Below are 21,673 nucleotides of genomic sequence, written 5' to 3' on the forward strand. Positions count from 1 at the left end.
AATAATAGAGAATTGTACATTTCAAAATTGTTAAATTTCAAATGTTCTCACCACAAAAAATGTTAAATGTTTGAGGTAATGGATATGTTAACTAGCTTGATTTAATTATTCCACATTGTATTCATAAATTATAACACCACTTTTTACCCCATAAATGTATTCAATTATAAATGTCAATTTACAATAAAAAGGAATGAAACTATAAAACATAAAGAAAGAAAAAAAGGATATTTTTATTCAGTCTCTCAGGCCAGAACTATGGGATTCACTCTTGATAGCTTCTTCTTCACCCCTCACATCTCACAAGGGCACCGATCTGCCAAATTCTTCCTTCTAAATATTCTCCTTGAATCTGTGTGCTCTCCCCATTGCCACCTGGATACCCCCAGTGGCCTCCTAACTGGTCTCATTTCCATGTTTGCCTGCCTTCATCCTAATTTATTCTTCACTTGGCAGCCAGAAAATATTTTTTAAAAGAACTTAATTGTGTCATTCTCCTCTTTAAAGTCTTAATGGCTTTCTAATTTCCTATGAAATAAAACGGCAAACTCCTTTTTAACAAGGACTCACCAGCCAGCAGATGTGGCCTCTTTGGGCTTCTCCTGTCTCCCACTCTCAGTGCTACAGGCACCCGGGCCTTCTTTATTCCTGCCTTAGGGTTTTTGCACCCTCTGCCTGAATATTTTCCCTTGCTCTTTTCAGTTGGATCTTCTTTTCCTTTCATTCATCTCCAAACACTCAGCCTACAGTGTTTTCCTCAGTAATTCTCTCTGATTTAAAGCAATGAAACTAACTCAAAATTGTGTATATATTTGTTTGCTTGTTTTGAGTTTTGCTTAATGTCCGTCTCCCCCATTCAAATGTAAATTATATGAGGCCAGGCAGTTATAACTATTTTGTTCACCAAGGTCAATCCAATCATAGATTTTGTACATAATAGACCTTTGAATATTTATGGAATGCATGAAAATGAAACATTTCCTAAACCTTAGTCATTGACTATCATTTGATGATTTAGCCAAAGCTATGTACCACCTGTACTATAAACCTAATCATTTTCTCTAAGCTGACTGTAAATCAAGTTTTAAAAAAATAAGGTAGCTCTGTCCGAAGCACAGTGTTGGGGGAGTTGCAAGTTAGTCTAATTTTATTTTTTAATGCACATTAAAATAAATGTCTAGGTAATAAAGCAAATCTTTATCCATTATATACAATTTTCTTGTGGTAAATAAATGAGCAAGAACTTTTTAATGAATGAGAACTCCCTTCTGCCAGGTGTAGAGCAAGCTCTAGACTATTAGAAGAACTGACGCTGATTCCATTGGTGACTGTGAACAAATCATTTAAGTTTTTGGGCTTCCATTTCTTCATTTGCACTATGGAGATTAATTTTAACTGTTCTGCCCAGTTCACGTGAAGATTTAATAAGCAGTGTGAAAATCATCTTTTTACATAAACATGAAATTTTATTTTTAAAATTATTTATTTTAGAAATGGTTACTACTGCTGTTTGTTTCTTAAGGTGTTCCGTCATATTGACCCCTTACATGACATAACAAAGAAGAATAATGTATATTAGTCTCCATCACGGCCATGAGGACTAGTATAATGGGACACTGCAAATATCCTTTGACCACTGATTAACTTCTTTTCTTCCCTTACTTGCTTAATTAAATGTCTACTTAACTTTCAGTAATCATACTCCACTTAGAGAAAAACCTCCTCACAATGTGAACACCCACGTTCATAGCAGAGCTAAGAGGTGGAAGCAACCCACGTGTCCACTAATGGATAAATGCATAAGATAAATGTGGTATATACATATTGGAATATTATTCAGCTTTAATAAAGAAGGAAGTTCTGACACATGGTACAACATGAATGAACCTTGAAGACATTATGCCAAACCAGGCACAACAAGACAAATACTATATGATTCCATTTATATGAGGTATCCAGAGTCGTCAAATTCGTAGAAACAGAAAATCGAACAGTGGTCATCAGGGGCCAGGGTGCAGGAGAAATCAGCAGTTGTCATTTAATGGATATAGAGCTTCAGTTTTGCAAGATGAAAAAGTTGTGAACGTTGGTTGCACAACAAAGTGAATATATTTAACACTACTGAATTATACACTTAGACATGGTTAAAATGGCAATTTTATGTTACATATTTTTACCATAATAAAAAAAATTTAAAGCCTGCTCATAAATGGGTTTCTAGTATTTTCATGTTCTGATGTTGAATATTGCTGAGAATAGAAATTTTAAAAATAATAGTAATAGTAATAGCTAAACTTTATGGACACTTAAGTCTGTGCCAGGTAATAAGTATTTTATATTTACTATCCCATGTAATCACCACTACAGCTTTATAAGATAGATACTATCATTTACGAGGATTTTACAAAGAGAAAACAGAGGTACAGCAGGGTTATGTAACTCGTGCAAGATTACACAGCTAGCAAGCAGTGGAACCAGGACATGATCCCAGGCAGTCTGGTTTGGTTCCATACTTTTAACCACTAGGTATATCGCTCACCAAACTAGTGGTAGGTACTCTGGAGATGAATTTACCTCTAATTAGTTTTAATTAGTGAGATTTTAGAAAGGTCTCTCCACACTTTGATCTCTGCTGAATATGTATTAACTTCCCTCTTATTTTCCATCTTTCTTTCTTTCATCCTCCAAAGAAAAGACATGGTCACTTAACCATATAAATCTTAACCATAAGAATTAAAAAACCCTGTTGACCCAAACATGTGGGCAAAAGCCACTCATCGAAGTGGCTTAAAAGCTCCAACTGAAATTATTTGATCTCTTCATCATCTGCAGATATACCTTCATGTTTTTGCCTGAGTAGAAGGAAAAGTAATAAACATATCATAGAACTACTGAGAGATTTAAAGCTTAATTCTAAGTAACTAGCAGTAGCTTATATTGAAGACATATTAAACCACAACAGTCACTTCCAGAATTTAAACTATTTATTCTCAGCTTGTGTGTGATGCAAGTAGAAAAAACAGACTTCTGAATCAACAAGTTACCTAACCAGTCTGATTCAAATTTCATCATTCATAGGTATCTGAAAGGTTGTTAAGATGGTTAAGTTAGCCAGGTGCAGTGGTTTACACCTATAATCCCAGTAATTGGGCTGGCAGGGGCGGGAGGATAGCTTGAACCCCAGGAGTTCAAGACTTACCCAGGCAACATAGCACGCTCCTGTTCCCCACAAAAAGAAAAAAGCCAGCCAAAAAAAAAGAGATTAGGTTAGTTGATATATATGAACTACCCAGCACACAAGACTTGGAATACATGTGTTCAATAAGTGGTAACTTTTATTATCACCATATGTAATTATTGATTTTTCACAGTTTTAAATACAGAAACAGAATGATACAATCTTCTTGATTCCTTCCCCAGCACCCCTCCAATCCTGGTGTCTGTAGAGTATAGGGTGTTAAGAGGTTTCAGAAACCACCCCAGCCCAGACCTGGAGGAGAAGCTGTGATGACTTCTCTTCATTAGCTGAACCTCACTTTATTCTTGTGGCTGGCCCTCCACTGAGGTCTGTCTTGGAACTCCTGATGAGATTCCTGCCTTGCCCACTGCCTGCAGGTCCTAGCCAGCAACCCAGTCCTTGTGTGGCATGGGCTTCCTGCTGCTGGATCCCCGGCTCCACTGCATCACCACCACACCTCCCCAGTGTCTACCTCCCCTCTCCTGGACTGCTAACTATTTGCCACATGGGCTTGGCCAGCTGCCTGACCCCCAGGGTGGAAGAGAGCTGGGGCATGATTTGAATTGTTTTTGAATGCCTTTACTTGAGTTCTGCTTTTCTTTGAAAATAGAACTCCAGGTTTCTGATCTGGGAGGCAAACGTATTCACACCCTGGGAGCCCATTCCTAAAGCAATGGAGCCCTGACCTTCTGCCCCTCAGTGACTAGCTTGAACTTGACTTTCTCTGCTGAGCTGCTTTGGTGCCCTCCAGAAATGTGGGGGCCCAGGGCTGTTAACACATCTGACTGCTCTTTTCCCCATCTTGACAAAAGTCATTCATTTGTAACTCTTCATAGCCCTTTGTAACCGTTTCTAGCATTACTATTTCTCCTCTTCTTTCCTTCTTCGGGTAAGAAATGCCTCCAAAACCCAGATTTTGGCACAAGAACTCCTAGATTGTTTTTATAGTCCCAACGTAGCACTTCTTTGTTACAGCTTGATATTCCCAAATTTTGTTCCAAGTCTCATTATTTTACATTTATAAATATCAGGTTGTATTAATTGGTTCCAGCTTTAAAAAATGTTCCATCAGGGGTTATTTCTGCTATTTTGATAGTGGTTTCTAAATGTGGAGTGCCGAGGCCCTGGTGTGGGCCACGTTCTGTAGGCATCCCTGAAGGACTGATGTGGAACGGAAAGATCCGCAGATTCTGAGTCTTGCTGTATTCTTTGAAGACTGTACTGGCCATAATAGCTTCAAAGAATTTCAACAAGTTCCTAAGACATGACCTTCCCTTTCCGAAAATCACGTTGGCCAGGCTTGCCTTAATCAAGCTGTGCTTTTCTAAGCATCCTTTTACTTGATCTCCTGCAGCAGTTTTTAATACTTTTCCTACAAGTGAAGTTAAACTAACTGGCCTGCAATTTCCTGGTGTGTCCCTAAGCTCTATGAAATAACGGCATTAGGTTGGCTAGCTTCCAATTCTTCCAGAATTTTTTTGTTTTGTTTTAAAGCGCGGGATTGAAAAGGCCAGAGAATGCTTCCTGTCTCCCTTTTCCTTCGTTTCTTCCATGACATACTGCTCTCTCTGTTCCCAGTAGAGCTGCCATTTTAATAACTTCAAACCTCTTAAATGTTTTCACATATTATTTGTACCTATCTCTGAAGCATGAGTTTTCCATTTTTCATTCTGACAAGGGCCACCCCCAATATAAGGGCTTACAATTCTATTAAATTGACTATTAATTCAAGGCACTGTTTAAAAAATGAGTTTCATATCAGGAATCTGAAAAAGAGTGGCAAAATAGATTATAATTAAGCCTGTGTTCTCACTTGTCAATTACTAATAAATACATGTTGGAAAAGACCTGAGAAAAATTTCTATACATCCAGGAAACAGAAGTCAAAAAATGGAACTATTACATCTGGGCATACTAATCTGAGGCACTAGCATAGTGTCTTAAAGTATGGTGAAATGCATTAGATCTGAAGATCTAATTTGCATTCTACATTTTATTAAACTGCATTTGGTCCATTATTTTTAAATCTAATATCAGAAAAATCTTTCCACATTTGATGGTCTCCCGGTTGCAATAGAAAGGCCCGTAGAAATATTTTAAGATATATTTGTTAAAAAGTTATTTTAAAAATTATTTTCTTAAAAATATGAGAATTTTTTTACTGACAGGAGTAAAAAAAAAATTAATAATTATTTGCATTTACAAAATTGCACCATATCACATAATGTTTAGGATAGTTCAAGTTCTTTATTGTACAGAAACTTGGAAAATTGTTTTGAAATAAGTGAGTCATCAACTAGAGCATAAGAACTTTTATTCTTTATAGACAATTTTTGTTTCAGTAAGCTTTTCATTTTTTTTATTTTTCATTTTGTGATGACCTAATGCGTCTTTTATAAATAAGTCACAGGCACATAAATCACGGCCCATTTGTGTGGATGAAGGCTCATTTCCTGGTTGGTAGGCATGGTGACCACCATCATGAAATGAAAAGAAACATGAAGTGGAATTTAAAAACTTTTAGGATGGTTGGTTCTGATTTCAGATAAATTGGATAAGTAAACCCCTATCAACTAGTAGCTTTTTCTGATTTACCAAAGTGATAATGTCAAACCTAAAATTTGCACATTTATCCCATAAAGTTCACTTACTGTGTATCAGATTTAGTCACAACTGGGAGAATCTTGGCATCTATGGTACACGTAGAACTCTCTCATCGAGAACATTTCAGTTGGTTTTGAATGACTACTGATATTTTCCTTTTTAATTTTGGTCAGGACTGACTATACCTGTAAATGAACAGGTCAGATTTTCTATGTGGGCCATAAAGCATACATACACAGAAAATTATTTGTGCATAGGTAGCAAGTATACTTAAGTTCAGGCATGAATCTAAACCATGTACTTTTTCCAGTGTTTGAAATGTTTCCTCATAGATTTCCATCTTTAGGATTTTAAAGTTGCCATCAAAATATGTACGGAATTCATCTTTCCTATTTAGCATATATTATACCATATAACTACAAATGTAGTACACATTAATTCGGTCTTCTCTCATTCCTATGGCCTTGCTTGAGCTATTCCCTTTTCTTAGAATGCCCTCTTCCACATTTGAAAGTCAAGATCTACCTATCCAAGGGGTAGACCAGTGAAAGATTACTTGGTTGGTGATAAAGTAGAAAAACTTGGTGCTATAGGTTTACCTTTGGTTAAATCCAAATTCTTCATTTTGCTAGTGAGCAGACTTCCTACCTTCTCTATGCCTCCATTTCCCCGTGCACACAATGGAGATTTTATCTTTCCTTTTAGAATTGTGATGTGGGCTAACTGATGTAATATATGTAAAAGATCAAAACTATCAGGACCTTTCCTTTCAAATGGCAATGTTTCCACAAAAATGTCTCTGGGTCTCACCCCTCCCTGCCAACTACCCCAGCTAATGATAATCTCATCTTCCTTTGAATTCTTATACACTTTACCTGTCTCTCAAGAACTTCACTATTTTCTGCATTGTGTTATTCACTTACGCAGCAACTATTATTGAATGCCTACCACGCGCCAGGCTTATGTCCATATACATTTTGTCCTTTTTTCTCTCTAGCTTGTTCTTAAGCTTCCTGAGGTTAGAGTCTTTGCTTCTTGAGGTTAGAGTCTTTATAATATTAATATTCCTTCCTCTCTCTTCATCGTCTGATAGTGCCTGGCACTAGTGCTTTAACGAGTATGTTTGTTAATATTCGGTAAAACCGGCTACTATATAATGCAGGCAATAAGCGTATATTTTCAAATGTGTCCATATCCTCAAGTAGGATTCACATGTGGGAAATGGTGCTTATATGCCAGTGCATGGGTTCATCTTCATCCTCATTATTAAATAATAATGAGATGATAAAGCAGTAGCCAACATTCCTGAGAATATACACAAATAATAATATTCTGTTCTCATTCCCACATGAGTTCTTGAAACAGTTCCTAGTAGAGCAAAACATGCTTTCCAAAAAGAGAATGTGAATGAACAAATGAGCTGCAGCTACGTCTCTACAGAATTACATTAGCACAAATCTAAGCAGCTTTTCAAAGAACTATGGTTTATAAATAAAGACTTTCATATATACAATGCCATGGCTAGATGAAATTCTAAGGTTTCAGGGGAAATTACACAATCTCATAATGAGGCTGTGTGTACACAACACCATGCCATCCAAATGAAAACTTGAGCAAATCACTTAGGAATGTGGTCTTTGCTAGCCCAGACATTTGGAGTCATTATTGGAAATATGCAATGTGGCTCTGACACTATTTTACTACTCATGGATGAAGTATACTATACAGAAGTCTCACTTTAGTTTGCTGCTTCTAATCAACCACAGGCTAGGAAACCAGAAAGCCTAATTGATTAAAATTGTGTTTAAAATAAGAATAACTAGGCTTTGATTTAAAGCTAACGAGAGTACCCTACAAGTAGAAGTAAATACAGGTGTTTAAATGCATGGCTGTTATATCGTGAGTTCCTTATCTCCAAAATGGAGGTTTCTAAAAAGTTACCATGTAACAAAAGGAATTTGTTAGATTATCTTTTATCTCTTCTCCCACAGTGCAGAGTTTCCTTTGAGAAATGGGATGTTGCAAGACTTTCGCTCCTCAGGAGTTTACCACTATCAAGTGTCCTAGTGTGTCTGGAGTTGATTCCTTCCAGTGGGTTCCTCGTCTCACTGACTTCAAAGAATGAAGCCACTGACTTCGTGGTGTTACAGCTCTTAAAGTTGGTGCAGATCCAAACACTGAGCAACAGCAAGAGTTGTCACAAAGAGCGAAAAAACAAATCCTCCACACTCGGCAAGGGTACACGAACCTGCTGCAAGGTGCTAGCTCAGGTGGCCAGCTTTTATTCCCTTATTTGGCCCTGCCCACATCCTGCTGATTGGTCCACTTTACAGAGCGCTGATTGGTCCATTTTACAGACTGCTGATTGGTCCATTTTACAGAGTGCTGATTGGCCCATTTTTACAGAATGCTGATTGATGCATTTACAATCCTCTAGCTAGACACAGAGCACTGATTGGTGCATTTACAATCCTCTAGCTAGACAGAAAAGTTCTCCAAGTCCCCACCCGACCCAGAAGCCTAGGCAGCTTCACCTCTCACTAGTTGGTACAACCATGCAAGATTCTAAACAGAAATAGATTCATGAGCACACTGTCCACATGTCTCAAAGGTCCAGAAGTCCCAAGAGACTTTCTGGGCCTATTCCATGGCCACCACTCGCAACTACCATGCAGCTCTGCAGGGGTTGCCAGTGACTTTTCAATTGTCTTGGGATGAGAGGTACTAGGTAGCAGAGTGCTTGAGCAGGTCCTAAATGTGAAGGGACTGAGATGGGAAATATTCCCCTCTTCTCCAGATGTGCAACCTGTCCTTGGCTGATGCTGACAAGGAGCCTGAATTTGTTTTATGGTCTTTATTAGTTTTGCTTCAGCGACTGGCATTAATGAATGTCTGGTGCACCTCAGGTTCAGTCTCCATGGCACTCCACCCACCTTCTCTTTTCTTCTGGAACCATTCAGAAGAGTGTATGTGAGCGAGTGTGGGAGGCTTATTGCCCAAATGCTCCACTGGAAGAATGTGGTAGAGCCAGATGTGAAATGGACCCCCTGAGTGAAGAATATGCAACCAAGAGTCTCAGCACATATTGGAGAGGAATGGCTTTCTAACTTAACTCTGGGTTTGTAATCTTGTGCTATCCCACATCCAAGTCAGAATGCCTGTCCAGACTAGACATCAAAACTAGGCTGCTATCATTTCTGATTTTTACTGAGTATCTGTGAAGAAGAAAGAATCTTTTGGGGGGTTAATTGATCCCAGGCCTGAGAATTGGATGTGGATTTCTATAGCCACTCACAAGAAAAATTCCAGTATTTTAAATCCACGTATCACATAATGTTTCAAGTGGAGCACACACATTCGGAACATTATAAAAAAGAGACAAAGTATATTATTTGACTGCAAAAGCACAGATAACTTTGGCATGATGGTGAGCGCCGCGTAGCAAGAGTTAATGCTATAAAATTCACAGCACTGTCTATTGTGAATAAATCCAATGAAACTTGTTCAGATAGTACTCAAGCAATACTAAATAGACCGTATGTAATCACCCAAGACCTGAGACACATAAAAACTTTATTAGTCATCACTGAAATAAAGTGCAAACAAGTTCGTCTTAGAAAGATTCAAAACTCTTTATGTTTTAGGTCGGCTGCTCCATAAAACAGTGCCTGACAAATTTTAAGTGATATTCTAATTAATCACTGGATTTTTATAGTTTCTTGAAAGCTGTAAGTTAGATATTAACAAGGCAGGGTGAGAAGAAATCCCCTTATACGGAGAATGAGTCCTACGTCCTTTGCACAAGCCCACTGGGTCAGCCAAGCCAGATTTTATACTAAGCAGCTGTTGGAAATGGAACGGACCATTAATCCGAAGAGTATCATTATTTTCATATCGATTAAAGTGGGATATAAACCGTGCACCAAGTTCACAAACTGATGGAAAATCACTGCAGCTGTACCTCTGTCTTATACAAGAAACACTTTCTGGCGCATTTTTACATTGTTTTTTTCGAGAAACTAACACTTTGTAATATACTGATCATATGACTCTCCTTAATGCTGTCACATACTCAGCAATTATCATGAGAAAGTATGACCCAATACTTTGTGTCTATAGAAGTTTCTGATTTATATTTTTCAATTATTTCAATTAGATGCAATGATGGTATAAACGATCTAGGAAATTGTATTTGTAAAGGGAAATTTTGAAATTTTAAAATTTTAAAAGGAGGCAGATTTTTTTTGTGTGTGTTCACCATCAGGAACAAATATCTCCAATGAGGAGCAGGCATTTATTTTCAAAGAATGAAATTTAAAAATGGCTATCAAATTATTACTTCAATTCTTTTTTCTAAAAACACAAAAATATCTTCTATAAACACTTTCACTTACCTCATAATATAAAGGAGCATTACCACCTACAGGTTTTTTTGCCTTTTTAGATGAAGCAGATCCAACAAGTGTATTTATTTCATTAATCTGTAAGAAAATTAAATTTACTTATGATGAAAAAAGCCTTATTTGAAGAATACTTAGATATATGTAACTTTCAAATATCTAGGTGATCTGAAGGGTTGGGGAACCTAGCAAGAAAGAGGTACCCATGAATTAGGTAAAATATTTATAGTTACTTCGTAAGCTGTCAGTAATTGTATGGGTATGTGCCACCTGGCAGATCTTTTCTATATTATTGCTGTCCTCTGACCTCTGACAGCTATGATTCTCTGTAGCCTTCATTTTCCAATTAGTCATGTACCTCCCTGGAATCTTAAATAGTCTAGTCTTTTATAATTATTTAACTTGAATTAAATATTTTGTCACAGAACCTAGCATGGTGCCTGGTATGACCTCAGAAATCTTTGTCAAATAAATGAATATTGAATTAACAAAATTAATAAACAAAAATAAATTCTTCCAGATTGAACAACTCAAATTTATTCTGGCTAAATAGTTACTTAAAATAATCCATCAAAATTTACAAAACAGCCCAAGAATATGATAGTTTATTTTATAATTCTATTCTATTATTTTAAGTAAAAAAGTCTTCAGGTGGCTTTGAGGTAGGAAGGGACAGGTACCTGCTGGAGAATGTCTTGCCACGACACCATACTGAAGAGTTTACGCTGAGGGACCTGGACAGCCACGGTAAGGGCTTGGATGAGAAGATCATCTTCAATCTGGTTCCCAACCACAAAAGCAATGGAGGCCTGCCAATCGTTCTATTAAAAATCAGACGGAATTAGATTTTAAATATTCCTGAATAGGTCATTTCGTGTCAAATATTTCCACTGAGAAGCAGAATAATTTTCCTGTAAATCTTACTTGAAAGACAGAGGTGACCTTGTAATGTATGTGGTTTTCTGATTGAAGTAGCCGCAAGGCGGCAGTATTGTGCCAAATTTCATGCAACTTGACCAAAAAACAATTTTCTGGAGAAACTAGTCCTTTTATTTTGAGGAAGACAATTTTTTAAAACGACACTTTCACTAGAATGTTGTCCAAGAATAATCTGGTGTTGGAAAGCAATCATTCATTCCTATGTCACAAATATACATTAAGATGTCTCAAAAAACAGGAATCTTTATTTTGTTCCCTGGTATATCCCAAGACTCTAAATAGTGGTAGGAATATAAAAGCAGCTGAAAAAAACTGTTAAATGTTGGGTCATATTGGATGAGCTGCCAAATGAGAACTGAACCACATCTTTTTCTCTTAATGTAACACAGGAATCTTACTGCTAATTACACTCCCAAGAAATGGGCAAAAATATTACACTTGGACATGAAATTTTGCATCAAATAATTTTAAAAAATTAGTTACTAAAGAATTACATGCAGTACTTTTTTCTCTTTGTTTATTGTAATTGTAATTTCTGTTGGGAGATTAAGAGTGGCGCTCACTGGATTACCTCACATTACCAACTGTGAGATGCTGGGGAAAGCTACTCACGCAAATCAGTATTCCTGCTTTTGAACACTAACAATTTTAGGGAGAGATGAAACAAACAAACACGATAAAGACATCAGAAAAGAGAGGGAATAATAAGGGAGGGCACTCTAGTCATGTGACCTCTCTGGGGCTTAGTTTCCCCATTCATAAAATAAAGGGGTTGGACAGGGCAATATCTAAGCAACTCTCTAGCTCCTCTCTAGAGGTCTGATTCAAATATAGTAAAATGGTCTCCTGGTGAATACCAAAACAATGTCTAAGATTTGAAAAGGTCACACAAATTTAATAAAATGCATCATTTTATTTGGTTCCTCTGGTTTCTGCCCACTTTATAATCAGGTTGACGACAAAACTAGGGTATAGGTGGGAGAAAATACTTTAGTATTAATTCTTTCTTACCATCAAAGAGCAATTGTCCTTAAATCCTTCTTATTTAGCTCCATGGAAGTCTACTAACTACCTAACAAGACTCACCCAATTCTCAAGGCTACCACCAAAACAGAAAACACATGTAAAAGCATAAAAATGTATATTTTACTTGCAAAGTGTGTGTGTGCATGCATGCATGCAGGTAGGTGTGACTTTGTGTGGTTTCCTCTGTTATAATGAGTTGAAAACATTCTTTTGTCTCTAAATTCACCAGGGGAAGACTGACCATTTATTTTTTAAACATTCTGACTTTTAAAAGTAGATATGATATGTATAATGTGTAATGACCTTTCCTGAATTAGATGCCTTTTTTCTCTTGTCTGCTTCCTCAGTCAAAGCTGCAACTGTAGTCATCATTAAAGGGGAAAAATCTCTTTCATTTCACAATAAAGTACACACAGTTACAGTACAGGCAATACCTTGAAGTTCCTGATGACTACACCTTCCAAAACTGAAGATTTTAATAACCACCTTTACCCCCTTATCCCGCTGTCCACTGCAAGTTTCCTTGCCAATATTTGAAAGTTAATGGTGACAAGAAAAGGCTGTCTTTCTGCTCTTTGGGGGGCAACTGAGAAAGAGGGTATTGTAGTCCATTACCCATCTACTTATTAGTATTTGGTGTCAAGGCAGGTGTTGACCATTTCAGACCAGAAAATAAAAGAAGAGAGGAGGGGCAAGAGGGAACTAACAATTATTGTGAATCTGCCATGCGTCAGGCATATGTTATCTCATTGAATCCCTAAGTTACCCTACAAGATAGGTTCACTATTATCTTATAGATGGAAAAACAAAGGTCCAAAAAAGTTAAATGACTTGTTCAAGGTCATTTTGGCAGAACCTCATGGAGACCACAGACATGGCTTACAACTTTGTGATCATTTCAGAACAGTTTTGGGAATAAGTCTTTGGGCTCAGAATGTCTTTCCATAATCCTTAAATTGCACCTAACAGACTATTTGGCCATAATAAAACTATCAGGGAAATATTTATCTCAAATGTATACATGTGTATAGGCCTTCAAAAATAGATTAGGTAGGCTGGGCATGGTGGCTCATGCCTGTAATCTCAGCACTTTGGGAGGCTGACATGGGCAGATCACAAGGTCAGGAGATCGAGACCATTCTGGCTAACATGATGAAACCCCATCTCTACTAAAAGATACAAAAATTTAGCCGGGTGTGGTGGAGGGTGCCTGTAGTCCCAGCTACTTGTGAGGCTGAGGCAGGAGAATGGCATGAACCCAGGAGGCAGTGCAGTGAGCTGAGATCGCACCACTGCACTCCAGCCTGGGTGACAAAGCGAGACTCCGTCTCAAAGAAAAAAGAAAAAGAAAAAAGAAAAAAAAGAGATTAGATATTAAATCCTTAAAACATCATATAATTACTTTTTTAAAAATTATAATTTTACAAAGGATCAAAGAGGTTAAAGAAATTTCCCAAGGTTCTTTCTCTCAAGCGCAAAGCTCTTGTTCCTTCCTTTGCTCCAGGAGACATCTTAACATAAAATTGTTCCTCCAAGTCATGGCACAGTACCGAAACTCACGGGTCCCTGAAGTCACTCTGAGACAGTCTGCCCAGGCGAGAGCACGTTCAGATTTGTTTAGAGCTCTCTAGGAGAGCTGGGTTCCAGGCCACGTCTCCCCATTTCAAGGGGTCTTAAGAGTCGAGCTCTGTCCCAGTTTCCCATCTATGGTCTCTTGCCCACTAAATGTGTGCTTTAAAATTGCATCTATGTGGCAAAACAGGACTCATAACTTTGTCAGAGTTATGGTTTAGTGTCTAATCACATGGCCAGAACCTGAGCAAACATGACAGGGACCAGTCAGACAATAATAACACAAACTGAGAATGCCTACAGAGAAGGATGCACTCATTGTGAGCTGCAGCAGGGGGGCAGTAAGATGCTAGCAAATGTGCAATATTCAACTAATGAAGAACAAGTCATTTCCCCATGTCTAATTGGACAGCATAGTTAAATAAGCAATTCTCTGCAAATACAATTTCTGAGTGTTTCTCTTAGTATTTCAGGGTAACCAGAGATTCCAAACTTCCACCAACTGGCGGCATTTTTAGAAATAAAAAACTTGAAAAAAATCAGACACAGATTAGATTTGGCAAAATACAATCAAAAACACCCCTCCACCCATATCCTATCCCAACATGCAGCTAAATGAAGTCCTTAAATTTAAGTTCACAGGACAGAAAAAGAAATTTAGTATGGAGAAAACAAGGGTAGACCATTGTGGGCAAATGAAAGTATAATGTGTGCAACCCAATTCACCACAGGCTACTAATTACATCCAAACTTCTTAAACTATCTTAAGAAGTTTAAGTTTAAGATAGTTTAAGAAGTTTGGGTGTAATTAGTAGCAAGAGCTGAGAGAAAGAAAAGACTAATAATTTCAGAAAAGCTATACTGGATATATCCAATGGTGAAGGAAGAGGGTCTGGGTCTGTCACACCGAAAGCACCTTAGGAAATCAAGTCGGCTGCTTAGGAAATCAAGTCAGCTGTCTATGACCTGGAGGCATGTATTGTACATGATCATTGCTGAGTCTCACCCCTCCTAGTGATTGATAAAGCCATTCAAAGGATGGAATGAAGTCATGTATGGACACAATCCATTTCCTTTTATTTACTTTACCAGTCTCACCTAATTTGAGGCCTAGCAGGAGGGCTTCTTAACCCAGACACTTACATAGTAGTCTCCTAAGGCAGGAAAGTATTCATGTAAATGCAGAGAAACTGGCTGTCTCATATAAGCCTACTGTCCCAGAGACACAGGGTAAATTTACAACTGTTTTTCTTTCATATATTGCAAATTCTCCAAATTTTACTTAGGCATTTCATATTCTTAAACAATTGCAAAAGCCTTTTCAAAAGTGAAAAGTAGCTTTTGGACAATCGGATTGTAATTGCTTCCCTCTATTAGCACCAGCAACTTGCTGATTTAGGGAAAGACAAGGGCAGGACTTGCAAGCCCTCTTCTGCTGCCTTTGCTAGTATGATAGGGCGCCTGTGTCCCTGAAGGACTCGAGATGAGAGTCTCACAGTCCTATACCCAGAACTGAACAGGGCCTGATAAGCTATATGAACCAGTAGTGGTCAGCGCCCTTATTAGGAGAAGACGTACAAATGCCCCAGGTAAAATCAATGCAACATTCAAAAAGTCTGGTTTTATTAAGAGCTACTTAACACTGTACAGATATGCAAACCTGTACTTTATGTCAATACTCTGCTGAGACGATAACCTTTTTGTTAAGCAGATTTACTGCAAAATGGACAGGGATTTGTGAATGTCTTTCTCATACCAGGTTTTTCCTTCAAAAAAAGTCTTGGATCTCCATCAGCAAGGAGTGTTGGTATGGGCTTTTGGCCAGCAGAAGAAATATTTTTATTACATAGAACTGGCTGCTACAATCATATTTGTGTGACTCTAACTGTAAAATAGGTTGAAAATGTATGTTTAAAATGGGCATACGTTGTTATATAATAAACAAGAATACTATTAACGACCATGCTATGCACTAATCTTTTTATTGTCTTTACTAAACAAGTAGTTATTATGATAGACTCTAATTATATATCTCACACAATTTATTATAAGTGCTATAGTTTCACTTAATTAGATAATACTGTTAAAGTAATCCTTATTTAGGAATTGGACCACATATGTGGCTGTCATGTTTTCTCATCTAGACTGTAAACTCATTAGGTCAGAAATGATGTTTTCTATGCTTTTGCACTTTGTGGTGCCTGGCAGTGAATGGGAAATGGAGCAGGGCTCTATACATAAATATCTGTTGGCTGATATTTCAAAGCAACAGGGAGTACATTTGGATCCTGAGATGGTTTTGACCCTCAAATCATAAAGTGCTAGAATGTAGCATGTCAGGAAACTGCAGGGTATTCAGTCCATGGCCCTGGAGTCCTTTAGGAGGAGAATACACTATATCTGATCTAACATGGTCCATACCAGGGGTCAGTAACAATGGTTTGGGAATTGGGCCTTGAGGCCATTTCTCTGCTTAGACATATTTCCCAGGAGTGACTTAGACATGCAAGCAGATGTCAGGGGAAGGAGGATGCTCCTCCAGATAGGAGAAAAAAGCCAAAGACTCACATCCAAATCTGCATTGCCTATAAAACCATTCCTCCCCTCTCTCTCCTTCCTACTTTCTCCCGTCTCCTATTAGAAGGCATCTTGATGGCCTGCTCCCTCTTCCTTTCTCAACCTACTACCTATAGGCTGCAAATTCTGTGATTTCTTTTTTTTTTTCAGGGTGCCTTAGAAATTCTTATGAGTTTGATTTATGGTGGAAGAATATCAAGGTGGAGTGGGGAGAGAAGGGAGGCAGACTGAAGCAGCACACAGTGTGTGCTGTCATGTTCCATAATCTGGGAGAGGGCTATAACCTGACATCTGCCTCCTGCAGCAACTACTGCTTGATTCACCCTAATCTTTTGACCTCTGTTTAGCGATGTGTTGAAGCCGATTGCTCATGGCTCTTCCCAACTCTCTTCAGTGTGATTGCCTTAATAATTTGAAATATGCTACAGTAGGAGTACTCAAACTAAGGAGATGACAAACACTACAAATCAGAGATGTTCACTTGGAGAAGGTTACTAAACATTTACCAGCATATCACAGCTGCCATCCCAGGAAGAGCTGCATGTCTAAGACTGACTTAGTTATGATTTTCATTGGGAAGACCAAAGCTGTCTCAGAGAAAATATTAAGGAGGGCAAAGCAGATTTATTCCCTCTATTGCATACAAACCCCACCCCCATCCCAAAGACACACTCTGCAGCAATGCGCTATGTGGATCTATAATTAAGAGTCTGCTGATGTTGCTTCAAGTGTGACCTAGCCTTAAGTAATATCCTTCAAAATGGGCTCTATGAAAAGCAGGTGACAAGGCAAGTATAGAGACCACTGACAGGAGCAGGGGCAAACCACTCCAGGGCTCTCCTTTCCTCCTGACCATTTCCCTACTTCCCCACTCAGGCATCTGCACAATGGGGCCAATGATCTGGGAGATCCCTAAGCACCCCCTGCCAACAAATGACTAGATTCCTTCATACTGTGGTGGCCCCTTGAAGAAGCATGGGTCACTGTGGCACAGTAATTAGGAGCCTGGGTTCGATTCACTGAGCCCAGATTCGAATCTCAGTAAACCAGCTGTGTGTCCCTGGGCAAGTTACTTAACTTCTCTGTGCCTCATGCATAAATGAAGATAATGACAGTACCTGTCTATTGGGATTGTTGTGAAGATTGAATGAGAAAACCTATAGAAAGCCCTTCTCAGTACAGCACCTAGCAATAATCCTAGCCATCCTTAAAGATATTATTTTGGGGGGCTTCTGCTCTTGTTGGTCATTAGAACAAACATGGCTAGTCCATGCAAGCTGCTTCATGTGTGAAGAACTTATGGGAGACCCAGGGAAAAAAAATCAATCAGAATATCAACAGTTGCATCACAAAAAGGCAAATATGAGTTTGAACAAGAGTTTGTATAATAATTTTCTCTTGGATAATAATAAACTTGTTAACTGACGTGTTTCTAAAGTATTTTGGGTCCTTGGAAGAGAGGGCCAGAATCATGAACATATTATGTTTAAAATTCTAAAGGAATGTATAATAATTTTTTCAGAGCCATGGAAGAGAATGTGAGTGTGGCAGGAGAAATCTTCAAGTCATTTTGTGCCCTGTGCAAGTCTGCCAGAGACATTAACCTATCACCAACCATAGAAACAAACCAATTATCAATTAGAGTCAAATGAGAAGACACTGAGTTTTAGATTTTGTGCACTGGCTGACTATGAAGATGATCACCTCTGAGGTGGCCATACAGAGGACTAGGGGAAGAAAGCAGCCTCAGGCTACTTTTCATTAGAGATGTGGATCTGCTTACTTGGCTTAAAAAATATGAAAATGAATCAGTTGTTTGCTGGTTGAACTGCAAATATTAATCTGATCAATTTTGGGCATCAAGGTCTAAAACATGGATGTCATGCAGCGCTAGTTCTTAAAATAAAAACAAAAGAAATAAATTGAAGTTTATTTTTGATAGGGAGCCTTAGTGCAATAAGACACGTTTCCTGGCCTGCCGCTATATTCTGGCTTCACAGGGCTCATTACAGACCTTAGCAGAATCTACTAACTCCTTCTCCTAGGTATTACCTGCTATTCAGCTCAGAGTCTTAAGAGTTGATTTGATTATAGATATATATATACACACCCAGAGGCTTTAGTGCTAGGACCATTTTGAAGTATTTCTTCTAATATCTGCATTTCCAAAAAGGAATCCCAGTGACTCCTGGACTAACTCAAAGTGATGCCCTGCTAATGGCGGTATTTAAGGCTGTGGACTGGTCCAGTGGAAAAGGCTCCCCTAGAATTATACCAGAACAGACCCCTAGACAACTTCCTGCTTCACCCATGTGCCTAGCATATAGAAGCATTCAATAAATGTTTCTTGAACTTAGCAGCCAAAACCACACACTAAAGAGAACTTTTACACATGCTTAGCATGGGAGGGCTGACTGAGTATGTGGCATTTTATCAGCCAAACTCAGCACTTTGGAAGGAGTCATGCCTCTGAATCACCCAGAATTTGAATTAGAGAAAGAGCGCATTCCTTTGATGTTTAGACAACACTGTACATGGCTTATATTCACTGATGAAAACACAGTAGTCTAGAAACAGCTTTACTGTGCATGTATACACTGTCTGGCTGGTTTTCCTTGTCTTCATAAATATTAAATGTGACTAATTAAAATTATTGAAGTTCTGGTGTAGGTATGCAGAGAGGTTTGGGTAGTGTCAAATTCTGCCTCTGTGGTTTCTTAGCCAAATGACCTTGGGCTTATCTTTGTGACTCAGTTTCTCATTTAAAATTATGAATCTATTAATACAACTTTCAAAAGACTATTGCAGGACCCAAGAATGAATACACTTAGGGTCCTTTTGTAAATTTGTTGAGTACCACATAAATGTAAAATATTAATATATGCAAGGGAAATATTCTAATTTCCTGTAGAAAGTTCTGCAAAAATGGGTTAAAAGAGGTGACTGCTGCAGTAATTTTGAATTTTGAATTTAGATATGTCCTGGGGATCTTCTTTGTACCGTGTAGCCTCTGGCTTAGGCTGTTTGATTGTTTTTCTTTCGTTTTTCACAGAGTTCTTGGCCCATCCCACCAATCTAGCACATGAGCTTAATTCGGTTTTGCTCCATGCATCAGAGAGTTTTAAGACAGCTATTAAAACACCACATGGAAAAGCTTTGCAGGGAATTCTACTCCACAGAGAAACCACAGAGCCACTACACACCTTAACTATCTCCCCACCCCCAACAGTGGGCTGAAATTACGGCTCCATTATGTTAGTACAATCCAACCAGTTTTATGGCTTGGAGCAAAATCTGAGGTTCAAAATGAACTTCAGAACATAAAAAGTAAGGCAAACCTCAAAAGGAAACGAGCTTCTTTGGGTTTTGAAACAAATATTACATATCAGAGACATTCTTCTAACAGAGGAGACCAAGAAAAGCCAAGAGGAGTCCTGCTAATTGCTCCAGAAATGTAAAACTGGAATCAGAGACTCACCCGCCCTAAAAGGAGATCTCTTTTCATCATCATATATTAAAAGCTACAACCTTTCATCAACTCCTTCCTCAAGCACGAGACCTTCTTTGACCTTGATTGAGTTCCTTCAATGTTGCATCACTATCTTCCACATTAAAAAATAAGATATATTTTTAAGACTTAATGTTAGCTCATTACTTACTCTACTGCAGCCCTTTTGCTTTGTTTTTCTATCTTCCTTCCTGTATTGTAAATGTCATTTATACATTAAGCTTTGTGTATGTTTCATGGATTTGTTGTGCCTTGGCACTAGGGCTACCCAGAAGAAACAAAATAACCGACCAATACTCATTCTCATGAGCCATCCATGCTGTTGCTTGGTTAATTCAATCTCATGGACAACTTATTTTCTTACAGTGAATACAAGCGTCTTCATTTATCCCTTGTTTACTACAAAGCCATGGATATAATTTAATTTCTACATCCATCTTGAGTGGGGCATATCCAGGGCTACTTCTACAAACACAAGATTGCCCTGATTACACTAACTCTATCTTATTCTTCCCCAAATTCAATAAAATGTCCAAGCAATGGGAATATTTTGGCAGCCCAATTACATATCTCATAATATCCCTAATATCTGAAAGCAGGATGTGTCTGACCATGTGTTCTGATTTTTAGGTCTACAAATATGGTCTTCAAATGATAGGGTGAGAAAGAAGAGTTAAAGAAAGAGGATCCAGGGAGCAGTGCCAGATCTTCTAGGGAGCTGAGTTTGTATTATGCTAGCAGGGAATGATGGGAATTTCTCCAATAACTCCCTAGGGGTGTGTCAGAAAAACTATGAGACTGTAACTTGAGCAAGAATAGTGTCAGGGAATCTGTGCCCTACCTCAATTCAACAAAAATGAGTAGTCGTGCAGCTCAACAAGCATTTATTACATTAGTATGACTAAATGTATATGATGTAACAAACTAAGGGATACACAAAATGACTAAGATGGGAGTGTGAAAATGAGCAAACAATGCTTGTATCATGAAATAAATTTCTAGAGACTATTTCTTGTAAAGGCTATTTAACATCAGTGGCCCTGACTGGGTTTTACTGAGGGAATTAGTGTCCAGAGCTGGAGCTGTGCAGTAATCCTGACTTCTCCAGCTGCTCAGGACATAGCAATTGTGCTAGGAAAGTAAAAGGCAGTGGAGACCTGTCATAGGGTAAGGAAAATGAGGTCAGACCTTAAACAGACAAGTGGAGGGTAAAAGTATTAATCAAGATCAATCAATCCTAGTGGGAGGGAAGATAAAATTGTGGAGGGTGGAGGTGTCTGAAGTAGTTCCTGAGATCTTTCTTCTGAGAATGCTTGTAACTTTCTTTAGAGTTTCATGCAATTATCATTTTTTTTAATAGGGAAGGTTTTTTTTCTTCTTTTTTTTAGACGTAGTCTCGCTCTGTCGCCCAGGCTGGAGTGCTGTGGCAGGATCTCGGCACACTGCAAGCTCCGCCTCCCGGGTTTACGCCATTCTCCTGCCTCAGCCTCCTGAGTAGCTGGGACTACAGGCGCCCGCCCCCACCTGGCTAATTTTTTGTATTTTTAGTAGAGACAGGGTTTCACCGTGTTAGCCAGGATGGTCTCGATCTCCTGACCTCATGATCTGCCTGCCTCGGCCTCCCAAAGTGCTGGGATTACAGGCGTGAGCCACGGCGTCCGGCCAGGGAAGGGTTTCTTAGGAGGCAAACAAGAAGGACAGGTGAAAGAGAACTGGGGGGAAGGTGTCACTAAAGCCAGGGGAGGAATGGTGTATGTAGTCAAAGGCAATTAGAAGGTCACTGCTGACCTTAGCAAGAGCAGTTCTACT

The 21,673-nt window shown here is 38.5% G+C and overlaps 1 protein-coding gene across 7 annotated transcripts in view; it reads right to left on the reverse strand.

The window, feature by feature from the left end:
- Window positions 1–21,673, reverse strand: part of SPAG17 (sperm associated antigen 17) — a 231,639-nt gene that overhangs the window by 186,717 nt on the left and 23,249 nt on the right. For 6 of the 7 annotated variants that reach the window (XR_946574.2, XM_006710427.4, XM_006710426.4 and 3 more), the window contains exons 2-3: window positions 10,923–11,063; window positions 10,237–10,323 (exon numbers count right to left, since the gene is read on the reverse strand). Coding sequence is in view for 5 of the 7 variants with exons in the window: in XM_006710427.4 (XP_006710490.1) it covers window positions 10,237–10,323; window positions 10,923–11,063 (228 nt within the window). In the remaining 2 variants the exon portion in view is untranslated. Of the gene's footprint in view, window positions 1–5,889; window positions 6,028–10,236; window positions 10,324–10,922; window positions 11,064–21,673 lie in introns of those variants that run through there. The other variant, XM_011540935.3, reaches the window with a different exon arrangement.

Source organism: Homo sapiens, chromosome 1 (genome assembly GCF_000001405.40).
Source record: "Homo sapiens chromosome 1, GRCh38.p14 Primary Assembly".
NCBI lineage: Eukaryota > Metazoa > Chordata > Mammalia > Primates > Hominidae > Homo > Homo sapiens.